Source organism: Homo sapiens, chromosome 12 (assembly GCF_000001405.40).
Source record: "Homo sapiens chromosome 12, GRCh38.p14 Primary Assembly".
Lineage (NCBI taxonomy): Eukaryota > Metazoa > Chordata > Mammalia > Primates > Hominidae > Homo > Homo sapiens.
The window spans coordinates 64,378,760-64,403,800 of NC_000012.12; the positions used below are offsets into that span (position 1 = coordinate 64,378,760).

At 44.5% G+C, this 25,041-nt stretch overlaps 1 protein-coding gene and 1 pseudogene across 7 annotated transcripts in view; one reads left to right on the forward strand and one right to left on the reverse strand.

Moving 5' to 3' along the window:
* C12orf56 (chromosome 12 open reading frame 56) overlaps positions 1–11,999 on the reverse strand; it is a 125,997-nt gene extending 113,998 nt beyond the window's left edge. For all 7 annotated transcript variants that reach the window (NM_001099676.3, NM_001170633.2, XM_047428257.1 and 4 more), the window contains exon 1: positions 11,555–11,999. In NM_001099676.3, coding sequence (NP_001093146.1) covers positions 11,555–11,806 — 252 coding nt within the window. In that variant the 5' untranslated portion in view covers positions 11,807–11,999. The remainder of the gene's footprint in view (positions 1–11,554) is intronic.
* Positions 17,251–18,241, forward strand: RPS11P6 (ribosomal protein S11 pseudogene 6; annotated as a pseudogene).

Below are 25,041 nucleotides of genomic sequence, written 5' to 3' on the forward strand. Positions count from 1 at the left end.
ACAGAACCTGGCTGGGCATGGTGGCTCACGCCTGTAATCCCAGCACTTTGGGAGGCTGAGGCAGGTGGATCACTTGAGGCCAGGAGTTTGAGACCAGTCTGGCCACCATAGTGAAATCCCGTCTCAGTTAAAAATACAAACATTAGCCGGGTGTGGTGGTGCGTGCCTGTAGTCCCAGCTACTCAGGAGGCTGAGGCAGGAGAATCACTTGAACCCAGGAGGCAGAGGTTGCAGTAAGCCAAGATTATGCCACTGCACTCCAGCCTGGGTGACAGGAATGAAACCCTGTCTCAAAAAAAAAAAAAAAAGTGAACAGAACCCCTTGCTAATCTGTGATAAATAAGTAGCTTGAATCCTGAATCAGACCTAAACCTCTGTTGTGTTGAAGCATTGAGACTTTGGGGCTATTTGTTAGTGCAGCTTAATCTGACCAATACACTGTCCTTACAATCACTGGGAATATAGTAGTGAATCAAATTGACAAGATGCCTGCCTTCATGAAGCTTCTTAAGACTTGAATGCAATTTCATTTTTTTTTTTTTTTGAGACGGAGTCTCGCTCTGTCTCCCAGGCTGGAGTGCAGTGGCGCATCTCTGCTCACTGCAAGCTCCGCCTCTCGGGTTCACGCCATTCTCCTGCCTCAGCCTCCTGCGTAGCTGGGACCACAGGTGCCCGCCACCATGCCCGGCTATTTTTTTGTATTTTTTTAGTAGAGACGGGATTTCACGGTGTTATCCAGGATGGTCTCAATCTCCTGACCTTGTGATCCGCCCACCTCGGCCTCCCAAAGTGCTGGGATTACAGGTGTGAGCCACCGCGCCCAGCCTGAATGCAATTTTCATACTATTCTATTCAAACAAATAATTTAGAAAAAGACAAATTGACTGATGTGAGTTTACCACTTCCTGCTGTCTCCCACAGTGAGAGCCTTAAAATGCTATAAAGTAGTCAAAATAAAGAAGAAAGCTGGAAAAGAAAAGAAGCATCTATAATATGGCCTCAGCTTACGTAACTCTTAATACCTGTCAAAACGCACGATATAAGCCGGGCGCAGTGGCTCACGCCTGTAATCCCAACACTTTGGGAGGCCGAGGTGGGCGGATCACAAGGTCAGGAGATCCAGACCATCCTGGCTAACACGGTGAAACCCCGTCTCCACTAAAAATACAAAAAAAAAAAAAAAAAAAAAAAAGTCTCCGGGCGTGATGGCGGACGGACGCCTGTAGTCCCAGCTACTCCGGAGGCTGAGGCAGGAGAATGGCGTGAACCCGGGAGGCGGAGCTTGCAGTGAGCCGAGATCGTGCCACTGCACTCCAGCCTGGGCGACAGAGCAAGACTCCGTCGCAAAAAAAAAAAAAAAAAAAAAAAAAAAAAACAAAACAAACAAAAAAAAACGCACAATGCAGCTAAACAACACAGGGATCATCTCACAATATGCACAAAGAAGCGTGTAGAGAGCTAAACATGAGCATCATGAGACCTATAAGATTTTATCCAGGCTCTGCCACCCACTGCCTGAGTAACGGCCAGTGTGATAACCTGTCAATTTCTGGGATCCCTCAACACTTGGATATAAGGAAATATCAACTCCTTCTCTAAGAGATAAGCTATATGATAGATCTGAGCATTAATTAATTAACTCATTCATTCTTCTAATCAGCAAATAGTTATTGACCGTCTACTAAGTGTCAGGGAATGTGAGGCACAGTGACACAGAGATGAACAAGAGAGGCAAGGTCCTACTCCCATGTAGCAGCTTACATTTACCATGGGAGATAGAGAACAGCAAATTGTTAAACAAGTTAATCTTATAAAATGCAAATAGTGATAACTACTTTGAAACAAACAGATGGGTAAGTGTGATGGGGGAATGGTACTTTTAGTTTGAGTGGTCAGAGAGGCATCCTCGTGGAAGTGATGCTGAGTTTGGGCTGAAATATGACTTACACAAAAGAACCAACCCCTAAGGATCTCGAGTGTTCTAGGTAGAAAGGCAAGTACAAAGGTCCTGAGGTATAGAAGGGCATAAAGAACGTGGGGAAGAGTGGTAGGAGATGAGTCAAAGAGACAGCAGGGTTAAATCATGCAGGCTTTTGTAAGCAATAAGGAGTTTGGAGGCTCATGGAGATTTTGAATCAGAAGCATGTTATAATTTAATTTATGATATATGTTTCAAAGATAACCACAATGTAACCACCCAACAGGTTCATGTTGCCTGCTGCCTAGACAAGGCCAATTTATCAAGACAGGGGAATTGCAATAGAGAAAGAGTAATTCATGCAGGGCCAGCTGTATGGGAGACTAGAGTTTTATTATTACTCAAAATAGTCTCCCTGAGAATTCGGGGATTAGAGTTTTTAAGGATAATTTTGGGTGGGGGCAGTGAGTCAGGAGTGTTGATTGGTTGGGTCAGAGATGAAATCATAGGGAGCCAAAGCTGTTCTTTTACCCTGAGTCAGTTCCTGGGTGGGGGCAATAAGATCAGACAACTCAGTTTATCCTGTCTGCGTGGTGCCAGCCAATTCATCAAGTGCAGAGTCTGCAAAATATCTCAAGCACTGATCTTAGATTTTACAGTAGTGATGTTATCTCCTGGAGCAATTTGAGGAGAGTCAGAATCTTGTAGCCTCCAGCTGCATGTCTCCTAAACCATAATTTCTAATCTTGTGGCTAATTTGTTAGTCCTACAATGGCAGTCTAGTTCTTAGGCAAGAAGCATGTTTGTTTTGGGAAAGGGCTGTTATTATCTTTGTTTTAAACTATAAACTATAAACTAAGTTCCTCCAAAAGTTAGTTCAGCCTATGCCCAGAAATGAACTAGGATAGCTTGGAGGTTAGAAGCAAAATGGAGTCGGTTAGGTCAGATCTCTTTCACTGTCTCAGTTATAATTTTGCAATGGTAGTTCCACCAACTGCTATATGGGAAGGAATGAGTTTGGAGGCAATTTCAAAAGTCTAGTTAAGAAACTGGACAGGGGGCAACAGAAAATAGGGTCAGAAAGTTCATGAATATATTTTGGAAAACAAGTCAAAAGAACCAACTGACGAGTTGGATCTGGCAAGTTAAAGACTGAATCAAGGATGATGGAAGATGACGTCATTTGGTAAAATAGGGAAAACCAAGGAGGAATGGATTTGGGGGTGGAAATGAGCAATTGTGTTTTTGAACACATTGAACTTGATATACCTACCAGGCAGAATTTTTAGGAAGAATAAACTCAGCAGGGCGCGGTGGCTCACGCCTGTAATCCCAGCACTTTGGGAGGTCAAGGTGGGTGGATCACCTGAGGTCAGGAGTTCAAGACCAGCCTGGCCAACATGGTGAAACCCCATCTCTACTAAAAAATACAAAAATTAGCCAGGCATGGTGGTGTGCCCCTGTAACCTCAGCTACTTGGGAGGCTGAGGCACAAGAATCGCTTGAACCAGGAGGCGGAGTTTATAGTGAGCCGAGATTGCACCACTGCACTCCAGCCTGGGCCACAGAACGAGACTCTTGTCTCAAAAAAAAAAAAAAAAAAAAGAATAAATGAGATGACATTTTAAAACACCTAATACATAATCAGTACTCAAAAAAACAATTATTTTCTTTCCAAATTTGCTAAATTTCCTAAAGCCAGGTGACCTAATTTGAAAAAGGGACGATATCAATCTTACAGATTCATAGTGTGCCTTAATAGACTTAATATATGTGAATAAAGGTTATTAATAATAACTAATGCATATATAGTTCTTACCATGTTCTAAGCACTCTTTTAAGTATATTTAATTTATTAATCAGTTTAAGCCAACAACTCTATAAGTAAAACTGCCCTTATAAAATTATAACTGATGGCTGGGCACGGTGGCTCACACCTGTAATCCCAGCACTTCAGGAGGCCGAGGTGGGTGGATCACAAGGTCAGGAGATCGAAACCATCCTGGCTAACATGGTGAAACCCCATCTCTACTAAAAATACAAAAATTAGCTGGGCATGGTGGCGGGTGCCTGTAGTCCTAGCTACTCAGGAGGCTGGGGCAGGCGAATGGTGTGAACCCGGGAGGCGGAGTGCAGTTAGCCAAGACCGTGCCACTGCACTCCAGCCTGGGTGACAGAGTGAGACTCCGTTTCAAAAAAAAAAAAAAAAATTATAACTGAAAGAGTGAAAGAGATCCGACCTAACCAACTCCATCTGGCTTCTAACTTCCAAGCAATCCTTGTTCATTCCTGGGCATCCATGAAACTAATTTTGGGAGGAGCCTAGTTTATAGTTAAACTTTGAAACTTTGATCTCTGGCCGGGCGCAGTGGCTCACACCTGTAATCCCAGCACTTTGGGAGGCTGAGGCAGGCAGATCACTGGAGTCCAGGAGTTTGAGACCAGCCTGGGAAACATAGCAAAACTCTGTCTCTACAAAAATTACAAAAAATAGCCGAGCATGGTGGAGTGTGCCTGTAATCCCAGCTACTAAGGAGGCTGAGGTGGGAGGATCACTTGAGCCTGGGAGGTCTAGGTTGCAGTGAGCAGAGGTGTCACCAGTGCAATCCAGCCTGGGCAACAAAGTCTCAAAAAAAAAAAAACCAAGAAAAACCAAATAGTACCTCTTTTGTTTAATTGGATTTTCCTGATTACAAATGAGAGAACCAATTTTTTTTTGAGACAGAGTCTTGTTTGTTGCCCAGGCTGGAGTGCAGTGGCGCGATCTTGGCTCACTGCAACCTCCACCTCCCGGGTTCAAGCAATTCTCCTGTCTCAGCCCTCCGAGTAGCTGGGACTACAGACGCGTGCCACCACATCCAGCTAATTTTTGTATTTGTCATAGAAACGGGGTTTCACCATGTTGGCCAGGCTGGTCTTAAACTCCTGACCTCATGATCCGCCCACCTCAGCCTCCCCAAGTGCTGGGATTACAGGCATGAGCCACCACGCTGGGCCCAATATTTCCCTTCCCCCCTTCATAATATAGGTAAATGTGCTGATACAATGTAAAAAAAAAATGATTAAAAAAAGAAGTCCACAACTATAAATCAACCAAATATGAGCTTTGTCCTTTGTTATACGTTTACCCATTCAACCAGTACACATTGAACTGATATTTGCCAGGCCTGGTTTACAAAGATGACTAAGATATTGTGTGGAGACAAAAATGAATCCAGCTAAGTATAAGGCTGTGAGCTAACTGCTGTAATAGACATAGGTTCACAATGCATGCCTGGAAAAATAGCATTCATCCTTCAAGAGTCCTTCATATTTCTGCAAAGTAATAACAACTAGCATTGATTGCTTGTTCTGACCTATTCACTGTGCTAAATGTATCACATGAATGATCTCAACTGATCTTCATAACAACCTTAAGAGGTAGTTCTTATTATTTTCTCCATTTCATAGATGAAGGAACTGAGGCAGAGAGAAGCTAAGCAGTTTTTTTTAAGGTTGTGGCAGGACTCGGATTTGAAGACAAGCAATCTGACTTCAAAGCCTGTGATCTTAGGTACTTACGCTATTCCACCTCCTTAATCTATTCTGTTTACCTCCCCTTCCTCTTTCCATGCAAAATCAGAAGACAGTATTTTGTGGTATCATAGCATCCTAGGAATACCTCTATTGGAAATTCTACTGTTTTGAACTATTATGTTCCAGTGACTGTCTCCTTTAGAAAAGGAATGTATTATTCTTTTTTAGACTGCATAGCAAGTAGTAGGTGTTCAATAATGTCACCAAGGATAAAACTAGTGATTAAAAATGTGATTATTTCAACCACCTTGAAGGAGGACAAACTGTTCATGGCAAGCAAGCAGGCCAGGCTGTAAAAGGTGCATTTGTTCTAGTTCAAGAGGCCTCATGGAGCCCAGGATACCTAGAGAGCAGATATTCACAAAAGGGGTGAAAGGACTAGGAGAAAGAGAGGCAAGGGCTGCTGGAGTTGACAGATTTTCTTTCCCGTAGGTGATGAGATGGATTTGAAGGACAGTGATCTGTAGGAAATTCATAGACTGCTCTGCGTATTTGTTCTCACACTTAAAAATGTAACCAGCTGGGCACGGTGGCTCATGCCTGTAATCCCAGCACTTTGGGAGGCCGAGGTGGGCAGATCGCCTCAGGTTAGGATTTCGAGACTGGCCTGGCCAACATGGTGAAACCCCGTCTCTACTAAAAACACAAAAATTAACCGGGTGTGGTGGTGCGAGCCTGTAATCCCAGCTACCCGAGAGGCTGAGGCAAGAGAATCACTTGAACTCAGGAGGTGGAAGTTGCAGTGAGCCCAGGTCTTGCCACCGCACTCCAGCCTGGGCAACAGAGCGAGACTCCTGCTCAAAAAAAAAAAAAAAAAGTGTCTAACCTTAGAAGGGCTTAAGTGGTATTTTGATGCACCCAAGAGCAGAACTCTAGAGAACTCTTTCAAAAGTAACTTTTAAGGAAATGTCAGCCTTTTATAAAATATCCGCCCAAGTAACTTGGAAACCCTTTCTTTGAGAAAATGAACCACATCAAACACATACTGAGATCGTGAAGTGCACTTTAAGCTCATTTTTGCTGGAAGGGAAATCTCACTTGTACCCTTCTTCAAAACAAACATGTGTAGACTCTGGTCTAACTGTCTAAATTTTGTTGCTGTTACCTTTAATTTTTTTTCCTTTGTGAAGGGAATAGAATTTTATCTGTATTATTTGTAAGGGCTTTTTTTCCCCTGAGATAAATGTGACATATGTCAGGAACTAGAGTTAATCTGGCCTAACATGGAACAAGGAGAGCTGGGGCTCAGAGGCATAAAGGACTTTATTTGTTCCTAAGATCAGTGCTTGAGATATTTTGCAGATCCTGAACCTGATGAATCAGCTGGCACCACCCAGATCGATTAACTGGCTCATCTGATCTTGTGGCCCCCACCCAGGAACTGACTCAGTACAAGAGGACAGCTTCCATACCCTATGATTTCATCTCCTGCCTAACCAGTCACCACTCCTGACTCCCTGGCTTCCCCCCACCTACAAGTTGTCCTTAAAAACTCTGATCCCTGAATGCTCGGGGAGCCTGATCTGAGTAATAATAAAACTCCAGTCTCCTGCACAGCCTGCTCTGCATAAATTACTCTTTCTCTATTGTGATTCCCCTGTCTTGATAAACTGGCTCTGTCTAGGCAGCAGGCAAGGTGAATCCATTGGGCAGTTACAACTTTAGAATCCTCCCGAGGTGGGAGGATCATTTGAGGACAGGAGTTTGAGACCAGCCTGGGAAACATGGCAAGACCCCATCTCTATAAATAAATTAAATTAATGTGTTGGCAGGACCTTCTGGAAGCTTTAGGGGAAAATCCATTTCCTTGCCTTTTCTAGCTTCTCCAGGCCCCCTACATTCCTTGGCTAAGGCCTTCTTCCACCTTCAAAACTAGCAATGACTAGTCGAGTCTTTCTCATGCTGCATCAGTTGGCCACCGACTCTTCTTCTGCCCCTCTCTTCCACCTTTTTTGTAATTTTTAATTTTTATTTTTTTGAGACAGAGTCTCACTCTGTTGCCCAGGCTGGAGTGCAATGGCGCAATCTTGGCTCACTGCAACTTCCGCCTCCCGGGTTCAAGCGATTCTCCCACCTCAGCCTCCTGAGTAGCTGGGCTTACAGGTGTGTGCTACCACTGCTGGCTAATTTTTATATATATATATATTTTTTTTTTTTTTTGAGACGGAGTTCCACTCTTGTTGCACAGGCTGGAGTGCAATGGCGCAATCTTGGCTCACCGCAACCTCCGCCTCCCGGGTTCAAGCTATTCTCCTGCCTCAGCCTCCCAAGTAGCTGGCGTTATAGGCATGTGCCACCACGCTTGGCTGATTTTGTATTTTTAGTAGAGACGGGGTGTCTCCATGTTGGTCAGGCTGGTCTCAAACTCCCAACCTCAGGTGATCCGCCCATCTCGGCTTCCCAAAGTGCTGGGATTACAGGAGTGAGCCACCGTACCTGGCCAATTTTTATATTTTTAGTAGAGATGGGTCTTCACCACGTTGGCCAGGCTGATCTCAAACTCCTGACCTCAGGTGATCTGCCCGCCTGGGCCTCTCAAAGTGCTGGGATTACAGGTGTGACCCACTGCGCCCAGCCATAAACACATCTTTAAAAGTGTAAGAGGCCAGGTGGTCAGGAGTTTGAGACCAGCCTGACCAACATGGCGACACCCTGTCTCTACTAAAACTACAAAAATTAGCCGGGCATGGTGGTGCGTGCCTGTAGTCCCAGCTACTTAGGAGGCTGAGGTGGGAGAATTGCTTGAACCCAGGAGGCAGAGGTTCAGCAAGCCAAGATTGCACCACTGCACTCCAGCCTGGGTAACAGAGCGAGACTCTATCTCAAAAAAAAAAAAAAAAAAAAAAAAAAAAAAAAAGATGTGTTCACATTGAGCCCACCCAGATACTCCAGATTAATTTCCCTATTTCAAGGACAAATGATTAGCAACTTTAATTCCATCTGCAACCTTAATTCTCCTTTTCCATGTAACATATTCACAGGTTCCAGGGATTTAGCGTGTGCTTATCTTTGGGGCTTAATTATTCTGCCTATCGCAACTTCCAAAGTTGAACTATATTGTGCAAGATGGACATTCAAGCTACCAACAATGTTGAAAACTTAGATTTGTTCAGTACATTTATAGCCATTACACATTCTTTATGCCTGAAAGGTAAACCTTGTCCAGAAAGCATGAATAAATAAATTGGTATCCTTTTTTGTAGGATTCTTGGCTCAGGGCCAAAGGAGCTTTACAGTACTTTTTAGATTCTCACAGGTAAAAAAAAACAAAACAAAAAAACAAGCCAGGCACAGTGGCTCATGCTTGTAATGTAATGCCAACACTTTGGGAGGCCAAGGTGGGTGGATCGTTTAAGCCCAGCAGCCTGGGCAACATGGCAAAACCCTGTCTCTACAAAAAATACGAAAACTAGCCAGGCATGGTGGCACGTGCCTGTAGTCCCAGCTACTCAGAAGGGTGAGGTGGGAGAATCACTTGAGCCAGGGAGGCAGAGGTTGCAGTGAACTGAGATCGGGCCACTGCACTCCAGCCTGGGCAACAGAGCAAGGCCCTGTCTCCAAACAAAACAAAACAAAACAAAAAAACAAGAGATATATAACACTATTGACATAAATAAATGTCTCTTTTGGAGGAGAGTAACAATATCCTAAAATCATTACTTTTGTGTCAAAACAATAAATGTTTACACTGGAGACAATAGAAAAAGCTGAGCGTTCAAAGTTTTTTGTTTTTGAGACAGAGTTTTGCTCCTGTTGCCCAGTCTGGAGTGCAACGGCGCCATCTCAGCTCACTGCAACCTCTGTCTCCCTGGCTCAAGTGATCCTCCTGCCTCAGCCTCCTGAGCAGCTGAGATAACAGGCATGCGCCACCACACCCAGTGGCGCATTGGCCCAGGCTGGTCTCGAACTCCTGACCTCAGGTGATCCACCTGCCTCAGCCTCCCAAAGTGCTGGGATTACAGGCGTGAGCCACCATGCCTGGCCCCTTTTAAAGTGTTTTGTTTGTTTGTTTAGAGACAGTCTAGCTGTGTCACCCAGGCTGAAGTGCAGTGGTGAGATCATGGCTTACTGCAGCCTCGAACTCCTTAACTCAAAGTATCCTCCCACTTCAGCCTATGAAGTAGCTTGTACCACCGGCATGCACCACCATACACAGCTATTTATTTTTATTTTTGTAGAGACGGTGTCTTGCTAGGTTACCTAAGTCTCCAACTCCTAGGCTCATGTGATTCCCCTGCGTTGGCCTCCCAAAATGCTGGGATTACAGGCATGAGCCACCTTACCCAGTCTAAAGTTTTAAAAAACACTTAGTAAAGGAAATTTAAATTAAAAAAAAATTTAGTTCAAGGCCAGGTGCTGTGGCTCTTGTCTGTAGTGGATCACTTGAGCCCAGGAGTTTGAGACTAGCTTGGGCAACACTGCAAGATCCTGTCTCTACAAAAAAAAATTTTTAATTAGCCAGCTGTGATGGCATGAGCCTGTAGTCCCAGCTACTTGGGAGGCTGATGTGGGAGGATCGCTTGAGCCCTGGAGGCTGAGGCGGCAGTGAGCCGTGATGGTGCCACTGCACTCCAGCCTGGATGACAGAGTGAGACTGTCTCCAAAAAAATTGTTTTAGTTCAAGAGAATGGAAACAATGGTAGTGAGGAAAAGCAATGTTGTATCCCGAACTTTTCCTCAACAAAGAAAATAAATTGGCACAGTTACATTAGTTCACAAAGGTATTCCGAGTAGAAAAAAAATCTTTTTTTTTCATTTAATTTTATTCTTTTCTTACAGACTCGTTCAAAACAAGCCATGACTCCTCAGCAAAACAGCTCCATCAAGCGTCTCGCCAACCTCTCCCTTGGGGCTCAGTCAAGGGAATGAAAAAACGAGGCTAGACACCTGTCCCCAACGGAAAAACCAAGAACACACCTGGAGAGCAGCTCAGACAAAGGGAGCCAGGCGGGGAAAACAGTAATTGGAGAGGAGACCGTGCTTCCAGTCTGTTGCTGGTTTACAAGGTAAATCTATTCCTGGACGAAAGGGGTACAGGAACAGCACCCGAAAACCGGCGACAGGCTGTGGCAGGCCCGACGTCTTTCAAGCCCAGCTCCTAGCGTCGACGCCCCTCCTTCCAAGACGTTTCCCAGCAGGCCCTGCGCCCAGTTTGGATCAAGTGAGCCGCCTGAGATTGCCAAGCGTCCTGTGCGCATCTCATTAACGCATCTGCTTATTCATGCATTTATTCTTTTGCTGGGGAGGGGGTGGAGGGGAACGGTGTCTCACTCATTCTGTAGCTCAGGCTGGAGTGCAGGTGGGGCGATCTCGGCTCACGGCAACCTCCGCCTCCCAGGTTCAAGCGATTCTTGTGCCTCAGCCTCCCAAGTAGTTGGGATTACAGGTGCACACGACCACGCCTGGGTAATTTTTGTACTTTTGGTGGAGACGGCGTTTCACCATGTTGGCCAGCCTGGTCTCGAACCCCTGACCCCCGGTGATCTATCCACCTTGGCCTCCCAAAGTGTAAGGATTATAGGCGTGATCCACGGCACCCGGCCTTATGCATTTATTCTTATTGAGCATCTAACATGCTCTAAGCATCGGGGGCAAAAAAGTAAATGAGATATAACAGCACTTAACACACAGCATTTATTTGCACGGGTGTTGGCTTTCTAGCCCTCCAGCGACTGCTTCTAGGTAGGGGCCCTCTTTCGTTTTTGCATCCTCCGAGTCTAGCACAGTGCCTGGCACTGACTAGGTGCTTTGTTAACAAAGGAATGACTTTAAAAGGTATTTTTGATAGGGAGCTCGGTTCTCAAACCTGTAGCCCTACGTGGGGTAGGGGAGGCGGGAGAATGGGTGAACAGGCAGACACGAGGAGAATGGGAGACGTGTTTGTATTAGGAGTGCTCACAGCAATCCACAGCTTCCCTGTGTTCCTCGTTCTCAAATAAGAGGAGGGGAGTCGAGGGCAGGATGGGGCAGCCCTCCCCGCGCAGGAGGGCTGGGTTTGGGGGCCCCAGCCGGGAGTTCTCACTGCGCTCCCGAGCCCGCCTGCCCACCCGCGCCGCTCACCAGGTCAATGGCCACGACGTCCCGCAGAGCCACTACCCGCCGGATGGACTTGGGCGGGTTCTCGGTTAGGTAGACGAGCCGGTCGCTTAGCACCACATACTTGAGGATGTGGTTCTCAGAGTTGGACACCACGATGCATGGCTCGTAGGCGCGGACCGCGTCGTAGACCTCGGGCGGCAGATGCCGCCGCAGGAACACATCCAGGCGGCTGTTCCTGCGCGCGGGGAAGCCGGACGGCAAGGGGCTGGCCATGCCCGGCGCCCGCAGCGTGGCGGAGTGCTGGGACTCGAGGCCCTCAGCTCGCCCTCTCCCCGCCCCCGCGCTGGAACCCGCGCGCCACAAAGCCGCCGGCCACGCGTCGCCTCCTCTCCAGGCGCGGGGACCCGGGCCGCAACTGCAGGAATCGACGCTAGGTCGGCTTCCCTGGAGCGCCCTCCCCAGCCCTGTCCAGCCTCTCGATCTTTGTCCTAACCTCAGACGGCGATGGGCGGGGCAAGACGCTGGTCCTTCAGGCCCGAGTTGATGGGCACCTCGGGCTCATCACCGTGAAGTCCCCTGCGGCCGAAGGGCGGTGGATTTTTAGGGTCTCTCCCGCCCACCCCTAATGCCAGTCCCCACCACTGCGTACTCTGTTGCGGATCACACCATCCAATACAAACTTTATTGGTAATGGAAGCCAGCTTCAATCTGGTTTCCTGTTAGAAACTTGAAAGAGTTTAATTTACCGATTTATTTTTAACAACCCTAGAAACCTATTAAACCCAATCACACAGATTTAGCTTTTGGTTATAACATGGCCTGGCACAGCTTTCTGATATTGTCGGAGTGTAAACATAGGTCTTCTTTCTCCAACCAGTGAGAAAGGGATTTTTTTTTTCTTTTCTCTTTTTTTTTTTGAGACGCAGCTTTGCTCTTGTTGCCCAGGCTGGAGTGCAATGGCGCCATCTCGGCTCACCGCAACCTCCCCCTCCCGGGTTCAAGCGATTCTCCTACCTCAGCCTCCTGAGTAGCTGGAATTACAGGCATGCGCCACCACGCCCAGCTAATTTTGTATATTTTAGTAAAAACGGGGTTTCTCCATGTTGGTCAAGCTGATCTCCAACTCCCGACCTCAGGTAATCCGCCCGCCTCGGCCTCCCAAAGTGCTGGGATTACAGGCGTTAAGTCACCTCGCCCAGCCTTTGAGAAAGGGATTCTTCACATGAATTGATGTGAGCACACCCAAACCAACCTAAGGCATATGGTTTTGTTTCCAATGCCCAGGACAATCTATGCAGGAAGAATGAATGGGTGATGCTGGCATCTTGAAAAGTTGAAGCTGATAGACTGAAGAATGCGGATTACATACCCTGAGGCTGCAGAGGAGTAAGTATTCCTTAGTTTTTACAGGCCAAGAATAACTTACTAATTAGGTTAGAGAAATGAGAAGGGCACAACAGAAATGCTCTAAGTCAGAAGTTCCATTTTTTATTTCGAATCCTAGAAAAGTTATTCTCTTCCCCTCCCCATTGACCCAAAAACCTGATAATGAAACCATATCGTTCATTGCTGTGGCTGCCAGCAACCCTGAATCAAATTTGATATATTCTTTATATTCTCCCTTTCTACATATTTTATTATTGTATACTGTATGTTATAAGCAACTTCAAATCCCTTGTGGAAAGAAGGTATAAATATATTACAATCCATAAACAGATATTGTAGACTACACTAGTACAAAGGGAAAGAGAAATGTTTTGGTCTGGCTAAACTTTTTTTTTTTTTTTTTTTTTGAGACAGAGTCTCCCTCTGTCACCCAGGCTGGAGTGCAGTGGCATGATATCGGCTCACTGCAGCCTCTGCCTCCTGGGTTCAAGCCATTCTCCTGCCACAGCCTCCCAAGTAGCTTGGACTACAGGTGTACACCACCATGCCTGGCTAATTTTTTTTCTGTGTGTATTTTTAGTAGAGACAGGATTTCACCATCTTGGCCATGGCTTGTCTCCTGACTTCAACTGATCTGCCTGCCTTGACCTCCCAAAGTGCTGGGAATACAGGCATGAACCACCGCCATGTAAGGGTCTGGCTAGACTTAAGTCTAAGATCATGTTAAGGAACTCAAGTGAGTAAAGAGAAGTGCCACCTGCTGGCAAAATCTTAAATGACCTAGTAGTTAAAGTTTTCTTAGGATCTCATCACACATCTGAGCCTTCCTAACTTCATAAATGGATGAAAAATGAATGAACTACACCATCCGTAGCAACCTTTATTGATAAAAGATGCCGCATGGCTATTTCCTCCAAAATAAAGACTACTCATTATCTAAACCACTCTAAATAGAGTTTGTTGCTTCAAACTAACAGAAAGGCAAAGGCGCTTCACCTCTGCTGAATAGCCACACCTCACAAAAGCAGTTGAAAGATGAATGACTACAATATCAGAGGTGGAAAGTGAGGCCCACATAAGGGAAAGGCCTTATCTTAGTCTACTATTTTGTGTCTCTCAGGCTTCCTACTTCATACCTACTTCCCAGGACTAAGAGAAACAGAATGACTGGACCAGGACCAAAAAAGACAGCATACTTGATATATCTGCCAAGAAGCCCATCTTGAATAAGCTTTTGGTGACAAGTGCACTAAGCTTAGCAAACATTAAAATGAAGCACAGGCTGGGTGTGGTGGCTCATGCCTGTAATCCCAGCACTTTGGGAGGCCGAGGCGGGTAGATCAGTTGAGGTCAGGAGTTTGAGACCAACCTGGCCAACATGGTGAAACCCCATCTCTACTAAAATTACAAAAAATTAGTTGGGTGTGGTAACACATGCCTGTAATCCTGGCTACTCGGGAGGCTGAGGCAGGAGAATTGCTTGAACCCGGGAGGTGGAGGTTGCAGTGAGCTGAGATTGCCCTACTCCACTCTGGCCTGGGCAACAGAGCAAGACTCTGTATCTAAAATTAAAAAATAAATAAATAAATAAAATGAAGCACAGAAAGAAGGGAATTTGACTGGGAGATTGGTGATCAAGGTGACTTCAGTTAAACTTTTAACTTCGTGGCACACAGAGAAGGCAATACAATGGTTTCCAGGCACTGTACAGCAGTGTTGCCAAGGTAACAGCAAAATTTCTATTGCAGGAAATGGATTTAAATATATAGGAAAGATCACTAGATTTGGAGTCAGGAGAACTAGATAAGGGCACTAACTCTGTTATCTATCAGACTTTTGGAAAGTCACAACCTTTCCGAGCCTCAGTTTCATCATCTATAAAATGTGAGGATCAAATGTGATGAATTATAGACTCTATGAGCACTACAGACATATGAAGCATTCACATTCCCTTATCTTTTGGTAAGCTTTACATCAATCCATGGCCCATAGGCCACCTGCAGCCCAGGAAGGCTTTAAATGTGGCCCAACACAAATTCATAAATGTCTTAAAACATTATGAGATTTTTTTGCGATTTTTTTTTTTTTTTTTAGCTCATCAGCTATCATTAGTGTTAGTATATTTTATATGTGGCCCAAGACAATTCTTCTTCTTCCAATGTGGCCCAGGGAAGTCAAAAGCCTGGATACCCCTGTTTTACATGGTTAACCCAAATGCACCAAAGATAGGTACCCCCTCCTTATCTTGTAAGTTCATCCAAACTCAAGAAACATTTGGCAAAGGAACTCCTGCAATCAAGCACTTAATAGATGTTTCTTGACAAAATTATCAAAAGGAATGGGACATTACTTACCTGGACTAATCCTCAAATGCAGTCTCCTTGAATTTCATCAGAACAGTGGTCTTAGGTACAGGGATGGTCAATTTAAATAATTCGAAGCACAGTAGTTATGAGCATAGAACTGTAGAGCCAGATGACCTGGGTTCAAATTCCAGCTCTCCTATTCAGTAGCTGAATGACCTATGCCTCAGTTTCCCCATCTATGAAATGGAGATAATAGTACCAACCCCCAAAGGGTTATTACGAGGATTTAAAAAGTTTCAATAGTACCTAGAACAGGAACCTGGACTGGAGTAAATACTATATAAGCGTCTAAAGAACAAGTTGACTGGGCATGGTGGCTCACACCTGTAATCCCGGCACTCTGGGAGGCCCAGGTGGGTGGATCACATGAGGTCAGGAGTCCGAGACCAGCCTGGACAGCATGGTGAAACCCCATCTCTACCAAAAAATACAAAAATTAGCCAGCGTGGTGGCGGGCACCTGTAGTCCCAGCTACCTGGGAGGCTGAGGCACAAGAATCACTTGAACCCGGGAGGCAGAGGTTGCAGTGAGCCAAGATGGCACCACTGCACTCCAGCCTGGGCAACAGAGTGAGACTCTGTCTTAAAAAATAAAGAAAGAAAGAAAGAATAAGTTCAACAAGTATGTGATTTCCTGTTACATATGTGGTCGTTCTGCTCCCTATCTACAAGGTAATATTAAATTCTTCTGATTGGATACAAGTCTAACTTTCTGAGATTGACCCAAGGCAAATTTTACCTTTTTTGGGTCACATTTTTAGTGGAGAAGAGACCAGCAGGTTAGGCCATGAGAACCATGTAAGGATTCCAAACTAGAAGTACTCTTCAATGCTTCTAGGGATCCCAAGTATTCCCATTCCCCCCACTTGAAACTAAAGACAGACAGTACACACAGTAAGATATTTAGAATATGTGGCCTATAAATAGAACCTGACCTTTTTTTTTTTTTCTTGAGAAGGAGTTTCACTCTATCACCCAGGCTGGAGTGCAGTGGCGCAATCTCGGCTCACTGCAACCTCCACCTCCCGGGTTCAAGCAATTCTCCTGCCTCAGCCTCCCAAGTAGCTGGGATTACAGGCATGCACCACCATGCCCGGCTAATTTTGTATTTTTAGTAGAGACGGGGTTTCTCCATGTTGAGGCTGGTCTCGAACTCCTGACCTCAGGTGATCCGCCTGCCTTAGCCTCCCAAAGTGCTGGGATTACAGGCATGAGCCGCCACACCCAGCCCTAAACCTGACTTTTTAAAGGTGTCTCATTTAGGAATCTCTTAGTGCTTCAACTTAGTTGTTTTTTTTGTTGTTGTTGTTGTTGCTTGTTTTTTGTTGTTGTTGTTTTTGTTTTGTTTTGTTTTGTTTGAGACAGAGTTTCGCTCTTGTTGCCCAGGCTGGAGTGCAATGGTGCGATCTTGGCTCACTGCAACCTCTGGCTCACCGCAACCTCTGCCTCCCAGGTTCAAGCAATTCTCCTACCTCAGCCGCACAAGTAGCTGGGATTACAAGCATGCACCACCACACCTAGCTAATTTTTGTATTTTTAGTAGAGACAAGGTTTCTCCATGTTGGTCAGGCTGGTCTTGAACTCCCCACCTCAGGTGATCCACCTGCCTTGGCCCCCAAAGTGCTAGGATTACAGGCGTGAGCCACCGCGCCCAGCCCTATACTTATTATTAATGGATACTGATCATTTAAATATCTACTATTAGTAATCTACTATTAGTAATTAGATGACATACAAAGGAAAGATGTCATTGTTATAAAAACCAGACAAATGATTTGGATTAATGTTTTCTTTCACTGAATAATACTCCAATGCTCTATTTTGCCTCTCAGGCTTCCTGCTGCACATGTACTTCCTGTAAGAGGAACTAATGGTTGGAATAGGACCAATAAAGGCAGCATTCCTGACCTGTTTTCCAACTTCTTTCTCTGCCAAGAAGCCCATTATGCATAAGCTTTTAGTGACAATGACATTCGGCTTTAAGAACAATGAGATGAAACACACAGAGAATCTGACACAGAACTCAGCAGCTATCAGCTCGTAATTATGTTCTTTTTGGTTCAACTCAATACATTTCACAAATATTTACTGAGAAATATTTATTAGCCATAAACAGAATCAGGATAACACTTACTTTCAATCTTTAAAAATTGTCTAGTTTTGGCCGGGCATGGTGGCTCACACCTGTAATCTCAACATCTTGGAAGGCCGAGACAGGTGGACCATGAGGTCAAGAGATCGAGACCATCTTGGCCAACATGGTGAAACTCCGTCTCTATTAAAAATACAAAAATTAGCTGGGCGTGGTGGTGCACCAGCTACTCAGGAGGCCGAGGCAGGAGAACTGCTTGAACCAGAAGGCGGAGGTTGCCGTGAGCCAAGATCGCACCACCACACTCCAGCCTGGTGACAGAGCGAAACTCCATCTCAAAATAATAATAATAATAATAATTGTCTAGTTTTTTCTCAGGCAGCCAAGAAGATGGTGGATTGAGACTGAGCATGCCTACCACAAGCAGCTGACCATCATTCAAAGCAAGAAGAGGGTACTGCTAAAGGAAACTGGCAAGAAGCAGCTCCTATGGTACTTACAAGAACATCGGTCTAGGCTTCAAGAGGTCCAAAGAGACTATTGAGGGCACCTACATTGACAAGGAATGCCTGTTCACTGGTAACGTCTCCATCTGAGGGCAGATCCTGTATGGCATGGTGACCAAGATGGAGATGCAGAGGACCACTGTCATCCAGAGAAACTATCTCCACTACATCCGCAAGTACAATTGCTTCGAGAAGTACCACAAGAACTTGTCCATGCACCTGTTCCTCTGCTTCAGGATGTCCAGATCAGCGACATTGTCACGTTGGATAAGTGCCAGTCCCTGAACAAGACGGTGTACTTCAATGTGCTCAAGGTCACCAAGGTCGCAGACATCAAGAAGCAATTCCAGAAGTTCTGAGGCTGAATGTCTGCCTGCTCCCCAAAATGAAATAAAGTTATTTTCTCATTCATACACACAAAAAATGACTAATAGGTAAGATAACCACACAAACTTAATACACAACAAAAACATATTAAAACATATTAATGCAATTAGAGATTTAAAAAAAAACTAGCAAGCTGTGTCAAAGATATGATCAAGCACAAACCTGGTTGAGGACATCTGGAAAGACCTCATGAGGGAGGTAAATTCGATAAATGCTCGAAGAGTGAATGAAACAATTTCTTTTTTACCTTTTATTATAGGCAGTTTTTAAATTTTTTGGCCAATTGTAGTGGCTAACACCTGTAATCCCAACACTTTGGGAGGCCAAGGCAGGTGGATAGCTTGAGCTCAGGAGTTCAAGACCAGCCTGGGCAACATAGTGAGACCTCATCTTTACTAAAAAAAGTTAGCTGGGCATGGTGGTGCCCACCTGTAGTCCCAGCTACTCCAGAGGCTGAGGAGGGAGGATTGCTTGAGCCCAGGAGGCAGAGGTTGCAATGAGCAGAGATTGGACCACTGCACTCCAGCCTGGGTGACAAAGCAAAAAAAAAAGTTTGTTTTTCTTTTTTTAATTTTCTGATTATCAAAGTAGTACATGGTCACTGTACAGAATTTTTTTTTTTTGAGACGGAGGCTCCCTCTGTCGCTCAGACTGGAGTGCAGTGGCATGATCTCAGCTCTCTGCAACCTCCGCCTCTTGGGTTCAAGCAATTCTCTGCCTCAGCCTCCCGAGTAGCCAGGATTACAGGCACCTGCCACCACGCGCAGCTAATTTTTGTATTTTTAGTAGTGACGGGGTTTCACCATCTTGGCCAGGCTAGTCTTGAACTCCTGACCTCGTGATCCACTCGCCTCAGCCTCCCAAAGTGCTGGGATTACAGGCATGAGCCACCACACTCAGCTGAGAATTTTTAAAAATCCAAAAACTTATAGAAAAGAAATGTCTGGAAGCCCATGATCAAGGTGCTGACAGATCCAGTGTCTTGTGAGGGCCTAATTTCTGGTTTGAAGATGGCTGTCTGTCTTCTTGTATCCTCACATGGTGGAAAGAGAGCTCTCTAGCTCCTCTTACAAGGGCACTAATCCTATTCATGAGGGCTCCACTCTCATGACCTGATTATCTCTCAAAGGCCTCACCTCCAGATACCATACAGTGAGTGAGGGTTTCAACATATAAATTTTGGGAGACACACACATTTAGTCCATTGCAGACATGTTAGAGTTGAGGTGCTGGTGAGACATGCAGGCATCTGTGAATGCAAGTTGGCAGTACAGAATATTAGGACCAGAAGTACAGAACTGGAAGTCATCTTCATAGAATTGCGTGTTGAAACTGCAGAAATAGATAATTTACTAAGGGAGCAGGTGTAGGCAAAGGAAAACCAGATGGCTAAGAACAAAGGCCTGGGGAAGAAAACATGTTAAGGGAGCAAAAGGATATGGTGAGGAAGACAAAGAGGAATGGTCAAAAAAGTAAAAGGAGTTTAATAATAATATAGGGTCAGAAGTCAAAAGAGAAGAGAATTCTGAAGAGGAAGGAAATAGTCAACAGAGAAGTTGAAAGAAAAGAATAAATGAATAAAAATGGTCCCACGACTGGAAAATTTGTAGGAGTTTTAGTTGAGTGACTTGGGAGTGAAAAAACAGATTACAAAAAGTGAAGGAAAGGAAGAGTACGTACAGGAAACGAATGTGATGTACTGGAGGCAAGAAATCTTGAATCAAGAATCCAAGGTTCTAGTCTACCATTTACCAGTTATGTAACTCGGGATACATTCCTTAAAATAGATCTACCTTAGTTTCCTCATCTGTAAATTTAAAATGGTGATGATGATACCTGCTCCATCCCTACAATGTTAGAGGAACAAATTAGAAGATACATGGAGGCACGGTGAAAACCATAAGGGACCACATATACAAATGTTATCTATCATAATTCTTTCAAGTACTTCAGCAATTGAAAGAAAAGGGAGACATGGGACAGGTACAAATAAAGTTTTGTCATTATAAGAAAGGGCCTTCTGAGCATATTTATAGGAAGAACAGACTCAGTACTATAGTCCTACACTGTCATCAATCCTAATGGACCTTCATTTGAGAGATAGGTTAGTGGCACACACTCTAGAGTCAGACTATGTGTGTTTCAATCCCAGCTCTTTTTTTTATTTTTTAGTTGTATTTCAATGACTACAAATGAATCCCAGTTCAGCTACTTAACTTCTATGCACTCCAGTTTCCTTGTCTATAAAATGGGGATAATAATAGTATCTATCTCCATAGAGTTGTGAGGATCGATGTATAAACACTTTAAAACTGTGTTTGATGGCCAGGCGCAGTGGCTCATGCCTGTAATCCCAGCACTTTAGGAGGCCAAGGCTGGCAGATCACTTGAGGTCAGAAGTTCGAGATCAGCCTGACCAACACGGAGAAACCCCATCTTTACTAAAAATACAAAATTAGCCGGGTGTGGTGGCATATCCCTGTAGTCCTAGCTACTCGGGAGGTTGAGGCAGGAGAATCGCTTGAACCTGGGAGGCAGAGGTTGCGGTGAGCCGAGATCGCGCCATTGCACTCCAGCCTGGGCAACAAGAGTGAAACTCTGTCTCAAAAACAAAAACAAAAACACAAAAAACAAAAAAAACTGTTTGGCAAACATGCTCAAAAATATTGGCAATTAATACATAAAAGCATTGTCATATGCAAGCATACATGCTTTATGTTAAAATTGAAACTACCATTACAAAATTATAACCAAGACAGTGAAAGAGATCTGATCTGACCAACTGCATTTTGCTTCTAAACTCCAAGCTGTCCTTGTTCATTCCTGGGCATAGGCTGAACTAACTTTGGAAGGATCTTAGTTTAGAGTTTATAGTTAAAACAAAGACAATAACAGCCTCTTCCCAAAACACCCTTCTTACCTGGGGACTAGACTACCTTTGTAGGACTAACAAATTAGCCATAAGATTAGAAATTATTGTTTAGAAATCATGCAGCTGGAGGCTACAAGATTCTGATCCTCCCCGAATTGTTCCTGGGGATAACACCACTATTGTAAAACCTACGATCAGTGCTTGAGATATTTTGCAAACCCTGTACTTGATAGATCAGCTGGCACCACTCAGATCAAAAAACTGGGTCATCTGATCTTGTGGCCGCCACCCAGGAACTGACTCAGTGCGCAGGAGGACAGCTTCAACTCTCTCTGATTTCATCTCTGATCCAACCAATCAGCACTCTCAATTCACTGACCTTCCCTCATCCATCAAATCAGCCTTAAACACTCTGATCCCTGAATGCTCAGGGAGACTGATTTGAATAATAATAAAACTCAGTCTCCCATACAGGGAGCTCTATGTGAATTACTCTTTCTCTATTGAGATTCCCCTATCTTGATAAATTGGGTCTGTCTAGGCAGCAGGGAACCTATTGGGCAGTTACAAAAGGAGCCTTTTGGGCAGTTACAAAATGATAGTGTTATTTGTCAACATGTTGATGACTAACATTTTCATCTGAGATGAGAAACTGCCCATCCCTTCATGGACGGAGGAGGCAGAATATGGAATGGTCAAATGTAATACCTCTCTTAGGTCCTCTTCAGTTGGATTCTACCAAGTGCTTCTTTATTTGTTCTTTTTGTTGTTGTTGTTGTTGTGGTTGTTGAGATGAAGTCTCACTCTGTTGCCCAAGCTGGAGTGCAGTGGTGCGATCTCAGCTCACTGCAACTCCACCTCCCGGTTCAAGCAATTCTCCTGCCTCAGCCTCCCGAGTAGCTGGGACTACAGGCATGTGCCACCACGTCCTGCTAATTTTTGTATTTTTAGTAGAGGCAGGGTTTCACTATGTTGGCCAAGCTGGTCTTGAACTCCTGACCTCCTGAACCACCCATCTCGGCCTCCCAAGGTGCTGGGATTACAGGCATGCATCACCACACCCGGCTTTTTTTTTTTGAGATGGAGTCTCACTGTGTTGCCCAAGCTGGAGTGCAGTGGCGCAATCTCGGCTCACTGCAACCTCCCAGGTTCATGCAATTCTCCTGCCTCAGCTTCCCAAGTAACTGGGACTACAGGCATGTGCCACCATGCCCGGCTAATTTTTTTTTTGTATTTTTAGTAGAGACGTGATTTTACTGTGTTGGCCAGGCTGGTCTCGATCTCTTGACCTTGTGATCCATCTGCCTCAGCCTCCCAAAGTGCCGGGATTACAGGCATGAGCCACCGCGCCTAGCCTCTTTATTTGTTCTGAAATAATATGAGTTTACAAAGTTGAAAGAGATTTCTACAATTCTAGGTATTTCAACTACCATAAACGAAAGAGCTAATGTTAGTAGATAAACTGTAGATAAACTGAAGATAGGCTTTGTATAACATTCAACATAAGAAGTAGCCATAAAATGAATTTACAAACAAAACAGCAAGTAAAGACATCTATAATACGATAGATTGAATTGCCATATTCTTTAGGATGAGGCCTGGAATATGCTGAACATACAGATTGCAGAGGCACTCAGCCCAAGATTAGTATTGGGCCTTCATACTCCACAGTTGATCATCACAGCTAATATAAGAATTCATGCAATGATTCAGTTATTGAGTTGAAACTAGCAGGCTGGCACTGTGCTAGACTCGAAAGATATACTGAAATAGGTAGGGCAGAAATCCTAGCCTGAGATTTTTTTTCTTAGAAATAACATTCATAGCAACTTGTGAAAAAAGCCATGCCTGTGTCTCCAGCAGCAGTGAAACAAGATGGTGGATCCCCTCACCATTAACCCCCATATGGAAAGGGTATATGTAATTCAGAAGGGATGTGTATTATGTCTGTTCTCACACTGCTATAAAGGAATGCCTGGGACTGGGTAATTTATAAAGGAAAGAGATTTAATTGACTCACAGTACCTCAGGGCTGAGGAGGCCTCAGGAAACTTACAATCATGGCAGAAGGGGAAGCAAACACATCATTCTTCACATGGTGGCAGGGGAGAGAAGAATGAGTGCCCAGCAAAGGGGGAAGCCCCTTATAAAACCATCAGATCTCATGAAAACTCACTATTACGAGAACAGGGTGGGGGAAACCAACCCCATGATTCAATTATCTCCACCTGATCCCGCCCATGACATGAGGGGATTATGGGAATTACAATTCAAGATGAGATTTGGGTGGAGACACAGCCAAACCACGTCAGGATGTGTAGACAACTGAAGTACAATAACATCAAGGCTGTTTTGACGTAAGGGCAGAATTTACAGTATGTGCTCTCACACAACTTGAAATCTTAAAGGCCTTCCGGGAACAGGGTTAATCAGAAACCAACATGGCAGATTAGTACCAAAGATGGAGTTACTTTAGCTTCCAGATTCCACCCATCAATCCAGCTCTTACAGTTTCACTCGCCCTCCTATTTGGAGATGGTCCCTGAGCTTTTAGGGAGGGTGGTTTCATATGATATAGCTTTAGCAGCAGCGCCCTAGCAGTGGAAAACAGATTGGGCCCAGAGAGATTCCAAATGAGGGAGATTCACAGGCTTTGTTGAATTATCTCTAGTCTTGAGAATACCATGACTTTGGTTTTCTCAGAAGTAAAACAAGAGATACTTCTTGTTTATAATTAATTTGAATAATTAATAATTTGAATAGTAGAAACATAATGCATGCAAGGATTACAATCAAAAGAAAATTTGTATGCCAGAACAACAAAGAACCTATTTCGTTGGGAAGCCAACTGAGAGCAGCGTGAAGAAAATTAAGGCCTGACACAGGGACTCACACTCGTAATTCCAACACTTTGGGAAGCTGAGGTGGGAGGTTCATTTGAGCCTGGGAGTTAGAGATCAGCCTGGGCAACAGAGCAAGTCCCCATCTCTACAAAAACAAACAAAAATAGCCAGGTATGATGGTATGCACCCGTAGTCCCAGCTCCTTGGGCGGCTGAGGCAGGAGGATTGCTTGAGCCCAGGAGGTCAAGGCTGCAGTGAGCTATGACCACTCTACTCCAGACTGGGTAACAGAGCGAGACCCTTTCTCTAAAAACAAGAAAAAATTAAAACCCAGTTCTCCTTTAGCGACATCTTGTAGCCACTAGCCTGACATTTTAAACACATAAATTAGAAACATGATGCAAGAGTGATTCAAGGTATTTTATATAGGAAATGCCTGGTGTAGTGTCTTGGACAGCTAAATAAAGGTAGCTGTTAAAACATTAGTTTTATTCTATGCTCTTACCATTCCTCCCTCTCCAAGTTTTGTTTGTAGTCTGTGGCAGCAACCTAGTCTGTATTTAGTACACATTGAATAATCAACAATGAAATGTAAATATTGAGCACATTGTGTGTCAAACACATGTATTAACTCAAACCTCACAGAAACCCTTTGAGGTCGGTACTATTAACAATCCCCATTTTACATACGAGTAAACTGAAGCATGGATAGACTAAAGTAAAGTGCCTGAGGTCAACTAGTGAGGAGGCGGAGTGGCAGTCAAGTCGAGGCAGCCTAAGCCTACACTGCCTCTATGTTGCATTAATAAATTAATAAATCTGTGACCAAATAAATGAAGTGACATTTAGTAGCATCGAAAGATCCCGTGAGTAGGACTTCCTAAGAATGCTCTCCTTCTTTTCATGGACAAAATTTTAGTCTGTTTAAAATAAATTTTGGACCGGACACCGTGGCTCACGCCTGTAATCCCAGTACTTTGGGAGGCCGAGGCAGGTGATCACTTGAGGTCAGGAGTTCGAGATCAGCCTGTCCAACATGGTGCAACCCTGTCTCTAC